At 37.5% G+C, this 13449-nt stretch overlaps 1 long non-coding RNA gene across 2 annotated transcripts in view; it reads left to right on the forward strand.

Moving 5' to 3' along the window:
- The window catches only part of LINC00871 (long intergenic non-protein coding RNA 871), a 437745-nt gene that overhangs the window by 368770 nt on the left and 55526 nt on the right, over positions 1 to 13449 (forward strand). The window contains exon 4 of one of the 2 annotated variants that reach the window (NR_102701.1): positions 5253 to 5322. The exons of the other annotated variant lie outside the window; for it this stretch is intronic. This is a non-coding gene — a long non-coding RNA (long intergenic non-protein coding RNA 871). The remainder of the gene's footprint in view (positions 1 to 5252; positions 5323 to 13449) is intronic. 2 annotated transcript variants of the gene reach the window in all.

A 13449-nucleotide genomic window follows, 5' to 3' on the forward strand; every position in this document is an offset into this window, starting at 1 on the left:
CTTTTAAAATGCAATGCTTTCAGCAGCACCCAATTCACCTTTTGAATGCTTTGCTGCTTAGAAATTTCTTCCACCAAATACTCTACATCATGTCTCTCAAGCTCAAAGTTCCAAAAATCTCTAGGGCAGGGGCAAAATGCTGCTAGTCCCTTTGCAACATAAGTCACCTTTGCTCCAGTTCCCAACAAGTTTCTCATCTCCATCTGACACCAGTTCATATCACTATCAGCGTTTTTGTCAAAGCCATTCAATAAGTCCCTAGGAGGTTCCAAACTTTCCCACATTTTCCTGTCTTCTGAGCCCTCCAAACTGTTCCAACCTCTGCCTGTTACCCAGTTCCAAAGTTGCTTCTACATTTTTGGATATCTTTTCAGCAACGCCCCACTCTTCTGGTACCAATTTACTGTATTGGTTTGTTTTCACACTGCTGATAAAGACATACCTGAAACTGGGAACAAAAAGAGGTTTAATTGGACTTATAGTTCCACATGGCTGGGGAGGCCTCAGAATCATAGCGGGAGGCAAAAGGCACTTCTTACATGGTTGTGGCAAGAGAAAAATGAGGAAGAAGCAAAAGCGGAGATCCTTGATAAACCCATCAGATCTCATGAGACTTATTTATTCACTATCATGAGAATAGCATGAGAAAGACCAGACCCCATGATTCAATTACCTGTGAATCCACAATGCCTGGAGTTCAGCAAAAAAGCAAGACAAAGCAAGCACATATTGTTTTACGCCTACAACTGGGTAAGCAGGGATATTGACAGCTTCAATAGGCAACACTTTTGTTCAACCAGAACTTATTTAAAATGCAGAAGAAGAAGGAAATTGTATTTCAAAAAACATAAACAATGAAAGAAACCTATATCCATATATGTCTATATATATCCACATAGGTTCTATATACGCAGTTATATCTATAGACCCATCACATCTATATATCCATCAAAGAAATCCATATTCATTCTTACTCCTATTATTTCTAAGTATCAACCAACTTCTTATGCTAAGAGGGAAAGATAGGGCAGCACATAGTTCCTTTTTTTTTCAGTTTTCCTTACTCATCAGTAAGCTAAAGGTAGAAAGTATTGGTAGAATGTTTGCTCATGAAAGTGAAATAAAAATGTTTAGTTTTATGCAGTATTTTTCTATTCTGGTAAGAACGGTGTACAGATGAATATTTGAGCTGCAAAACTTAAATTGTGCATTTTGGTGATTCCACATAACAGTTAAGTGTCTTTAAAACTGACATTTCACAATATAAAAGTGAATGGAAAAAATCATGCTAATGACTTAAAAGTTTAATGTTTTAATGAAAAGCATTATTAAATAGCAAATAAAAAATACCATGGCATGTTAACAGATAGACAATGAAAGAAATAGAAAAATGCTGTATTTAGTATTTTTAATGTCATCTTGTCCTCACTTTTTGAAGAACGGGCCCCAAATTTCATTTTACACTGAGCTCTGCAAATTATATATTTGACCCTGGTTTCGGAGTCATAAATGTGTAGGGATCTGTCAGAGTTTATGACATGAAAGTTTTGAATTGGTGGTAACATTAAAGTAAGGGTCTTGAAGTATGTCTTGATGAGAAAGCTGTTCATCAAAACAGTCAGAAAAAGCAAGCTGTTAGGCTTGAAATGTGAGCCAGTTTAGTTGGTTCTTAGTTCTATTTTTCTGGTACACATATTTCCTGAAATGAAGCAAGCAGCTAAGGTATTTTTTTACTTTCTCACTATTGATGAACATAAGGATAGAAAACTATATTCCTTTAAATTCCTAATGATAATTTAGAGGGAAATGAAAATTTACAGGTTTTGCAGTGAGCATCCACAAAACAAAAATTTCTCTTTTGTGAATGTCTACTTTTACCCAGCAATAGTAATTTGAACACATGTACTCTCCATTTGTTTTTTCTGAAACCAGATCATATTCAATTATCAAGCCATCTGTAAATGTTGGGGGCATTTTTTCAGTATTATATCAGAGGACTCAACTTACAGTAAGCTGAAAGATAGAGGAAAAGTATAGAAAACATATGTAGGCTACCTTTCTGAGACTAACAGTGAAAAGATAGAAGGAAGCTAAATATTGGGGAGAAAGAAATAATCATTGAAAGAGAGGATTTCTAACAACTTAGGCCATGGTATTCAGTGGGTCTGCTCATCGATCCTTAACTTTCTAATGGTAAAGGAAATGTAAAAGGAGACAGTGCAATACAGTCGTCTTTTGGGCACTATTTTTAAGTTTATTAATAGATGCTCAAGAGAAATGCTTCTTTGAATTTTCTGCTGCTGTTGTGGAAAACATTGTGTCAATCATTATATGTGTTTCTTTATGCCAATATGCAATGTTTTCTTGATTATTACTGGATTCAGAAATTTCCTGAAGGCCTTAAGGCCCAGAAGTTTATTTTATATTTATTTGTGCCATTAATAGTGCTCTACATTCATTGGGGAAAAATACTGCAAGATGTTCCTACTGAAAAGAGGACAATTTTAATTACTTTTTATATGTGATGTTTATGAAGTTACAGTAAACACATATTTCTTCCTCCTGTTAATATTTGGGCATTTTCTAGGGTTAAACTAGAGCAGAGAGTGAATCAGTCTTCCAGAAAATCAGACAGTGGCAGACTAACTCAGTTATGCACATTAGTCAAATATGTGAAGAACTAAAAGAGATTATACAGTGTTTACATGAAATTATGCACTAGAGCTGTATATATAATTAAAGAGATTACTTCAATATAGATGAGTGCATGTGATCTTCCTTTTGATTATCTCTGCATGAAATTTTTCTAAAAATCCGTGTTTTATTGAGAAACATGAAGAATTTTACATCACACATGTTCTTTATATACTAGTGATTATACAAATAGCAAAGGAGAAAAATTGTGGTCAAATATTTCTCCCATAAATAATCATTAATTCCATTACATTATCATTCATGCTTCTTGTGTCCTGTGTCTTTATTTTTTTTAAATAAGCAGATACATGCAGTAGAATGAATATGTGTGTATATGTATGTGTGTGTTTGCATGTGTGTATACATACATAGATCCATCCATACATACATGCATGTGTCCATATTGCGTGGATATACAACAGGTTATTCAAGCAATATTCTCTATTGACATTACTTTGGTTTTCATTTTGTTTTGCTCTGAAAACATGATACCACATTAATTAACTTTATGCTGATTTCTTTCTTTTCATATTATTGGAATTTTATCTTCAAAGTAAATTCTTCTGTGCTAGGGTCATATTAAGTCTCTACATGCAATTCAACACCAAATGTTTTGTGATAATTTTGCTGTTTTGCCACAATTCAGATTAAACAACAAACATTAAAATTAGACTTACAAGTAATTCACATAATGGAATTGAAGGAGTGAAGACCCAAACAATTATCCTTGAAATTTAACGGAAGATATTTAAGAAGCTTAAGAATAGAAAAAGATATAATAAAGGTAAGACAATTTAAAAAAAAAAAGACAAAGAGCACTTAAAAATAAATGTTTAATAAAAATCAAAACTTGGTTGATGAGTTACATTACAGATTAGACAGATTTGAAAAAGTTGTGAGGAAACTAACTGGAAGACAGTCTTAAATAAATTAAGCAAACTTAATACATAGAGGCATAGAGACAAGAAATAAAAATAAGAGTCGAAAATACATGGAAAATGAAATAAGATTTAACATGTACCTAAATATATTTCAAGATGGAGAAAGTAGATAAAGAGTTAATATTTGAAGAGATAATGGTTAAGAAATGTTAAGAACTGATGAAGAAATGATTTACAGTAGAATGAATAATAATAATATATATCTTGATATTTTGTGGCCAAATACTGAATACTTAAGAAGAGACGCTTAAAAGCTGTCAAGGGAAAGATAGTTTATCAACAAAGGCATAATGATTAGACTTCTCAACAGTCAGAATAAAGAAAAAAATAGGCCAGGTGTGGTGGCTCACACCTGCAATCCCAGCTCTTTGGGAGGACTAGGAGGATCACTTAAACCCAGGAGTTGGAGACAAGCCTGGCAATGTAGTGAGACCTCATCTCTACAAAAAGTTAATTAGCCAAGCGTGATGAGTAATGCCTATAGTCTAAGCTACCTGGAAGGCTGAGTTGGGAGGATTGGTTGAGCCTGGGAGGTCCAGGGTTCAATGATCCAAAATTGCACCAGGGCACTCCAGCCTGGGCGACACAGCAAGACACTGTCTTGAAAAAAGAGAAAAAATGTAAGACATTGAAATAGAGTCTTTTAAAAAATAATTTCAACTTTTATCTTAGAATCTTTTAAATACAAGAAAAATATCTATAAACCTTGAATTTTAAATTGAACTAAGCTATCATTCAAAAGTAAAAGCTAAATAATTTTATAGGCAACAGAAACTTAAGAGAGTTTATCACCTAGTTACTTTCACTGAGGGAATTTTGAAATGCTGTACTTCATAAAGAAGGAAATACCTAGGAAGTAGGACTGAAATTTCAGGAATAGTGGGGGAAACTTGCCAAATATCTAGGTGTAGTTAAAGGGACATTGACTCTCTGTAAAAAAAAAAAATATATATATATATATGAAATTATGACTAATTTGAAACGTAAAAAAACAAAATGAGACCAAATTTCTAAATAATATGTCAGAGAAAACTAATCAGAATGAGGCTTAAGATGCTGGGTTCTGGTTCTCTTTAATAAGAATGGACCAGCCTGGGAAACATGGCAAAACATCATCTCAACAACAACAACAAAAATACAAAAAAAAATTAGCTAAGCATGGTGGCATGCACCTGTGGTCCCAGGTACCCAGGAGGCTGAGGTAGGAGGAGGATGAATTGAGCCTGGGGGTTCAAAGCTACAGAGAACAGTAATTACGCCACTGCACACCAGCCTGGGTGACAGAGTGAAACGCTGTATCCAAAAAAAAAAAAAAAAAAAAGAATGGCAGGATTAAGGATTAAGTGTAGACCTTTTAGAAACAAGTACACATGTAAATACATTAAGAGTAATGCATAAAGTAGTAGAAATAAAAATTTTAAAGCAATCAAAGACAAAGGAAAGGAAGACTGAAATAATTTGACTATTCCAACTGAAGACAGGAAAGCAACGGCAAAGCAAAATAAATAGAAACCAGTATAAAAAAAGCAAGACAAAGCAAAATAAATAGAAAGTATAAAGTTGTTAGTCACTGACTAAAAGTAACTAATTTAGCATTTTATGAAACTACTATTTCAGGAGGTGGCTGGCAAGATGGCTAAAGATGAACAGCTCCAGTCTGCAGCTCCCAGTGAGATCAATGCAGAAGGTGGGTGATTTCTGCATTTGCAACTGAGGTACCTGGTTCATCTCACTGGGACTGGTCAGAGTGTGTGTGCGGCCCACGGAGGGTGAGCAGAAGCAGGGTGGGGCATCGCCTCACCCAGGAAGCGCAAGGGGTCTGGGAACTCCCTCCCCTAGCCAAGAGAAGCCATGACAGACTGTGCTGTGAGGAACCATGCACTCCGGCCCAGACACTATGCTTTTCCCACAGTCTTTGCAACCCTCAGACCAGGAGATTCTCTAGGGTACCTACACAACCAGGACCCTGGGTTTCAAGCACAAAACTGGGTGGCCATTTGGTCAGATACCAAGCTAGCTGCAGAAGTTGTTTTTTTCATACCACAGTGGCGCCTGGAACGCTATCAAGACAGAACCATTCACTCCCCTGGGAAGGGGGCTGAAGCCAGGGAGACAAGTGGTCTAACTCAGTGGATCCCACCCCCAGGGCGCCCAGCAAGCTAAGATCCACTGGCTTGAAGTTCTTGCTGCCAGCACAGCAGTTTGAAGTTGACCTGGGATGCTCGAGCTTGGCACGGGGAGGGGCGTCCACCATTACTGAGGCTTCAGTAGGTGGTTTTCCCCTCGCAGCCTAAACAAAACCCCAGGGGAGTTCGAACTGGGCAGAGCACATCACAGCTCACCAAAGCCGCTGTAGCCAGCCTGCCTCTCTAGATTCCCCCTCTCTGGGCAGGGCATCCATGAAAGAAAGGCAGCAGCCCCAGTCAGGGGCTTATAGATAAAACTCCCAACTCCCTGGGATAGAGCACCTGGGGGAAGGGCAGCTGTGGGCACAGCTATAGCAGACTTAAACGTTCCTGCCGGCCAGCTCTGAAGAGAGCAGCAGATCTCTCAGGACAGCACTCAAGCTCTGCTAAGGGACAGACTGCTTCCTCAAGTGGGTCCCTGACTCCCATGCCTCCTGATGGGGAGACACCTCCCAGCAGGGATCGACAGACACCTCATACAGGAGAGCTCTGGCTGGCATCTGGCAGATGCCCCTCTGTGACAGAGCTTCCAGAGGAAAGAACAAGCAGCAATCTTTGATTGCCTGGGTGATACCCAGGCAAACAGGGTCTGAAGTGGACCTCCAGCAAACTCTAGCAGACCTGCAGCAGACAGTATTGACCGTTAGAAGGAAAGCTAACAGAAAAAAATAACATCAACATCAACAAAAAGGATGTCCACACAAAAAACCCATCCGAAGGTCACCAACATCAAAGACCAAAGGTAGATAAATCCACAAAGATGAGGAAAAACCAGTGCAAAAAGGCTAAAAATTTCAAAAAACAGAATGCCTCTTCTCCTCCGAAAAATCACAACTCTTCGCCAGCAAGGGAACAAAACTGGATGGAGAATGAGTTTGACAAATTGACAGAAGTAGGCTTCAAAAGGTGGGTAATAACAAACTCCTCCAAGGTAAAGGAGCATGTTCTAACCCAAAGCAAGGAAGCTAAGAACCTTGAAAAAATGTTAGAGGAATTGCTCACTAGAATAACCAGTTTAGAGAAGAACATAAATGCCTGGATGGAGCGGAGAGACACAGCATGAGAACTTCGTGAAGCATACACAAGTATCAATAGCTGAATCGATCAAGCAGAAGAAAGGTTATCACAGATTGAAGATCAACTTGATGAAATAAAGCATGAAGACAAGATTAGAGAGAAAAAGAATGAAAAGGAACGAACCAAGCCTCCAAGAAATATGGGACTATGTGAAAAGACCCAACTTACGTTTGATTGGTGTACCTGACAGCGACAGGGAGAATGGAACCAAGTTGGAAAACACTCTTCAGTATAATATCCAGGAGAACTTTTCCAACCTAGCAAGATAGGCCAACATTCAAATTCGGGAAATACAGAAAACATCACAAAGACACTCCTCGAGAAGAGCAACCCAAGGAACATAATTGTCAGATTCACTAAGGTCGAAATGAAGAAAAAAATGTTAAAGGCAGCCAGAGAGAAACATTGGGTTACTCACAAAGGGAAGCCCATCAAACTAACAGTGGATCTCTCTGCAGAAACCTTACAAGCCAGAAGAGAGTGGGGGCCAATATTCAACACTCTTAAAGAAAAGAATTTTCGACCCAGAATTTCATATCCAGCCAAACCAAGCTTCATAAGCAAAGGAGAAATAAAATCCTTTACAGACAAGCAAATGCTGAGAGATTTTGTCACCACCAGGCCTACCTTACAAGACCTCCTGAAGGAAGCACTAAATATGGAAAGGAAAAATGGGTACCAGCCACTGCAAAAACATACCAAATTGTAAAGACCAAATCAACACCATGAAGAAACTGCATCAAATAATGGGCAAAATAAGCAGCTAGCTTCATAGTGACAGGATCCAATTCACACATAACAATATTAACCTTAAATGTAACTGTGCTAAAAGCCCCAGTTAAAAGACACAGACTGGCAAATGGATAAAGAGTCAAGACCCATCGGTGTGCTGTATTCAGGAGACACATCTTATGTGCAAAGATACATATAGGCTCAACACAAAGGGATGGAGGAATATTTACCAAGCAAATGGAAAGCCAAAAAAAAAAAAAAAGCAAGGGTTGCAATCCTAGTCTCTGATAAAACAGACTTTAAACCAGCAAAAATCTAAAAAGACAGACAAGGGTATTACATAATAGTAAAGGGATCAATGCAAACAGAAGAGCTAACTATCCTATATATACGTACACCCAATATAGGAGCACCCAGATTCATAAAGCAAGTTCTTAGAGACCTACAAAGAGACTTAGACTCCCACAGAATAATAGTGGGAGACTTTGACACCCCACTGTCAATATTAGATCATCAAGACAGAAAATAAACAAGGATATTCAGGACTTGAACTCAGCTCTGGACCAAGTGGACCTAATAGAAATCTATAAAACTCTCCACCCCAAATAAACAGAATATACATTCTTCTCAGTACCTCATCACACTTATTCTAAGATTGACCACATAAATGGAAGTAAAACACTCCTCAGCAAATGGAAAATAATGGAAATCATAACAAATAGTCTCTCAGACCACAGTGCAATCAAATTAGAACTCAGGATTAAGAAACTCAGTCAAAACCACACAGCTACATGGAAACTGTACAACCCACTCCTGATTGACTACTGGGTAAATAACAGAATTAAGGCAGAAATAAATAAGTTATTTGAAACCAGTGAGAACAAAGACACAACATACCAGAATCTGTGGGACACAGCAAAAGCAGTGTTTACAGGGAAATGTATAGCACTAAATGCCCACAGGAGAAAGCAGGAAAGATCTAAAACTGACACCCTAACCTCACAATTGAAAGAACTAGAGAAGCAAGGACAAATGATATCCTTTCTTCTGATTGATTGATTCGGCTATTGATACTTGTGTATGCATCATGAAGTCCTAGTGCTGTATTTTTAGTTCCCATAACAAACCCACAGGCATTATCATACTGAATGGGCAAAAGCAGAAAGCATTCCCTTTGAAAACCGGCACAAGACAAGGATGTCCTCTCTCACCACTCCTATTCAACATACTATTGAAAGTTCTGGTCAGGAAAATCAGGCAAGAGAAAGTAATAATGGCTATTCAAATAGGAAGAGAGGAAGTCAAATTGTCTCTGTTTGCAGATGACATGATTTCATACTTAGAAAACCCATCATCTCAGCCCAAGATCTCCTTAAGCTGATAAGCAACTTCAGTAAAGTCTCAGGATACAAAATCAATATGCAGAAATCACAAGCATTCCTATACACAAATAATAGACAAACAGAGAGCCAAATCACGAGTGAACTCCCATTCACAATTGCTACTAAGAGAATAAAATACCTAGGAACACAACTGACTAGGGATGTGAAGGACCTCTTCAAGGACAACTACAAACCACTGCTCAAGGAAATAAGAGAAGACACAGACAAATGGCAAAACAATCCATGCTCATGGATAGGAAGAATCAATATCATGAAAATGGCCATACTGCCCAAAGTAATTTATAGATTCAATGCCATTCCCATCAAGCTACCATTGACTTTCTTCACAGAGTTAGTAAAAAACTACTTTAAATTTCACATGGAACCAAAAAAGAGACCGTATAGCCAATCCCATTACTGGGTATATACCCAAGCATAAAGAAGAAAGCTGGAGACATCATGCTACCTGACTTCAAACTATATTACAAGGCTACAGTAACCAAAACAGCATGGTACTGGTACCAAAACAAATATATAGACCAATGGAACAGAACCTCAGAAATAATGCCACACATCTACAACCATCTGATCTTTGACAAACCTGAAAAAAAAACATGCAATTGGGATAGGATTCCCTATTTAACAAATGGTGTTGGGAAAACTGGCTAGCCATAAGCAGAAAATTGAAATTGGACCCCTTCCTTACACTTTATACAAAAATTAACTCAAGATGGATTAAAGACTTAAATGTAAGACCTAAAACCATAAAAACCCTAGAAGAAAACCTACGCAATACTACTCAGGACATGGTCATGGGCAAAGACTTCATGATTAAACCACCAAAAGCAATGGCAGCAAAAGCCAAAATTGACAAATGGGATCTAATTAAAGAGCTTCTGCACAGCAAAAGAAGCTATCATCAGAGTGAACAGGCAACCTACAGAATGGGAGAAAATGTTTCCATCGGACAAAGGGCTAATATCCAGAATCTACAAGGAACTTAAACAAATTTAGAAGAAAAGAACAAACAACCCCTTGAAAAAGTGGGTGAAGGATATGAACAGACACTTCTCAAAAGAAGACATTTATGCAGCCAACAAACATATGAGAAAAAGCTCATTATCACTGGTCATTAGAGAAATGCAAATCAAAACCACAATGAGATACCATCTCATGCCAGTTAGAATGGCGATCATTAAAAAGTCAGGAAACAACAGATGCTAGAGAGAATGTGAAGAAATAGGAATGCTTTTATGCTGTTGGTGGGAGTGTAAATTAGTTCAACCATTGTGGAAGACAGTGTGGCAATTCCTCAAGGATCTAGAATCAGAAATACCTTTTGACCAAGCAATCCCATTACTGGGTATACACCCAAAGGATTATAAATCATTCTACTATAAAGATACATGCATACATATGCTTATTGCAGCACTATTCACAATATCAAAGACTTGGAACCAACCCAAATGCCCATCAGTGACAGACTGGATAAAGAAAATGTGGCACATACACATCATGGAATACTATGCAGCCATAAAAAGGAGAGTTCATGTCCTTTGCAGTGACATGGATGAAACTGGAAACCATCATTCTCAGCAGGCTAACAGGAACAGGAAGCCAAACTCTGCGTGTTCTCACTCATAAGTGGGAGCTGAACAATGAGAACACATGGACACAGGGAGGGGAACATCACACACCAGGGCCTGTCGGGGGTGGGGGGCTAGGGGAGGGATAGCATTAGGAGAAGTACCTAATGTAGATGACGGGTTGATGGGTGCAGCAAACCACCATGGCACGTGTATACCTATGTAACAAACCTGCACGTTCTGCACATGTATCCCAGAACTTAAAGTATAATGAAAAAAATGCAACTTTATGTTTCAGCCTAATTTATCAAATTTCAAGTTGGCCAATTCTGATAGTTGTTAGTGTTTGAATTCAGTATGAAAATTCAGTAATAATGGAATTGTTCTTTGGGTAGTAGTCACAAATTAATGTCACCAAGAAATAAGCCACTTATATGAGTAAAATTAAGGTTTATTTAAGGCATCATAACAGAACATTCATCACAAAGTCAACATGTCTTTTATATATGTTGTATTACATGTCTTTTATACATGTGGGTAGGTGTCTATCTTGGCTAGTATTAAGAGTTCTCTTGATGATTTGCACAGATTTTTAGATTCCACAAAATATATAAGAATTGTTGCATTAGTTGCCTGAGGCTACCGTATCAAATTAGCACACACTTTGTGGCTTGAAAAAAACATAAAGTTTATTTTCTTACAGTTCTAGATTCCAGAATTCTGAAATCCAGCTGGATTGTTGTACTCCCCACAGGGAGTCTAGGACAGAATCTGTTTCTTGCCTCTGCCAGCTTCTAGTAGTTGCTAGCTTGCTTGTCCTAAGGCCAAACCCCAGTTTTTGCCTTAAGCTTAATATCAACTTCTTTTCTGTGTCTGTTTATTCCTTTGTGGGTCTTTTGTAAGGACAATTGTCATTGGATTTAGGGCCTACCAAGATAATCCAGGATGATACATTCTTACTTTACTGCATCTGCAAAGACTCTTTTTCCAAGTAAGGTAATATTTGCAGGTTACATTAGAGGATTAGAACATATTTTTTTCAGAGCTACCAGTAAACCCATTACAGTAGTATCCTGGATTTCCCCTGAAGGATCTGAGGTGGTTCTTAGGGACAAGAAAGATTATGATACAATTTGGTTTTAGTTTGATTCTACTTACGATAGCATGCTCATCCATGGAGTAGGCAAACGATGCTTGCGAAAAACTGCTCCCTCTGTCCTCTGGTCTCCTGGTACATGATGAATTTAGTTTCAAACGAGACAAGAAACTTGTACCAGGATATAAACTTTAATTGACAAAGTCTTTCTAGGAAGAAAATGTCAGCCAAACAAAATAGAGTGTTTAGAGATTAAGTAATTTACATTCTGGAATGAGTTTCCTGCCTTTTAGCAGGCTAGTAATGATTTACAGAGCAGAAGTTTGTATACCTTTGTTCTAGAGGGTTTTCATATTAGGCTTCTTTCTAGTTTTCCTATTGTCTGAGAGATCGCAACTTTGTTTTGAGTAAAGGTGATTAAAAGTCCACATCTTTTACAGATATTTCACTTTCGAGGTTAATTTGTAGAAAAATTATAAGTTGTGATTTAATTTTTACTTGCTGGGAACATATACACCCTGAAGGCTTTGATTTTACCATAAAAAAATGTTGATCAGTTATACCTAACTTGACATTTTAAATTCAGTATTCCTTTCCCCTTTGGATTTGTCATCCCAAATCATCAACCCCCATCTTGTCTCTGTTGATTCTTAAATAAAACTAAAATTTTAACATGTGATTATTATCTTTATTACAATTACTTTTAACAATTTGAAAATCATGCTTTTTATATTCCTTTTAATATGAATAAAATTGTCTAAGATTATCTGGCAACATTTGGCTATAAGCTTCCCCCTTTCAAATATTAGAGATATTTTTTATTAGCAGGTTTCTCAGCAAAGGGTTTGTATTTCACATTTCAGTTAGAATTACTTCATTCATTCATTAAGCCAGCATTTCTTGACATTGTGGATACAGAGCCTCCTTAGGCATATTTTACCCTTAAGAATTAACAGACTGATAATGGATATAAAGAAAAACACACATAGTTATAATATAATTTGATACTGGATAGTTATAAACATCATGAGAGGACATAGGAGGCATATCTAATTCAAGTGAAGGATCCAATATTTCCTAGGGGAGATGACTTCTTGAGGTAGGTATGGAAGGAAAATTAGGAATCCATTCACTGCTGAATTCTCCTTAGCCACTATCTGTCACTCTAAAGGAATGTTTATTATATTTGATAAAAAAGAGATAACATCGGCACCTCAGCTTTTTCTACTAAGATCTGGTATGAACTTTGGAACAGACATAGGGCAGCATGGATAGCTCCAGAAGCTAAATAAAGGAGCTGCTAGGTAATAGAAAGAAGATACTTTAGAGCAAGTGAAAAGACACCTCAGTAAGTCTTCACCTCTTTTATCATGTATCTTGGTATGTGAAGGCCATTATTCCCATAGTTTCATTTTTTTAAAAAATCTCAAGGGATGTTTATGACAGTGTGATTTAGACTGAAGTAGGTAACTTATAAACTAAGATGCATCAAAACTAATTATGATCATTTTTGCTTCTTTTCCATTCTTTTGTGCATCTTGCCTTATGCATCACTCTTCAAGACACTGCCCCAACTTCTTCAGGTGGTTTTCTCCCTTACCAGGGTAAGCAATGTACTTAGCTTTGTCATATTAATAGGTTGTATTTCTGATATTTGAGAAGCAACCATTTGACGAGATTAAGTTTGTTACAGGTAGTTAGACAGGCATGATCAGGGCAGGAGAGGGCTGTCCCCACCCACCCACCAGGAATGTC

Source organism: Homo sapiens, chromosome 14, assembly GCF_000001405.40.
Source record: "Homo sapiens chromosome 14, GRCh38.p14 Primary Assembly".
NCBI classification, from domain to species: domain Eukaryota; kingdom Metazoa; phylum Chordata; class Mammalia; order Primates; family Hominidae; genus Homo; species Homo sapiens.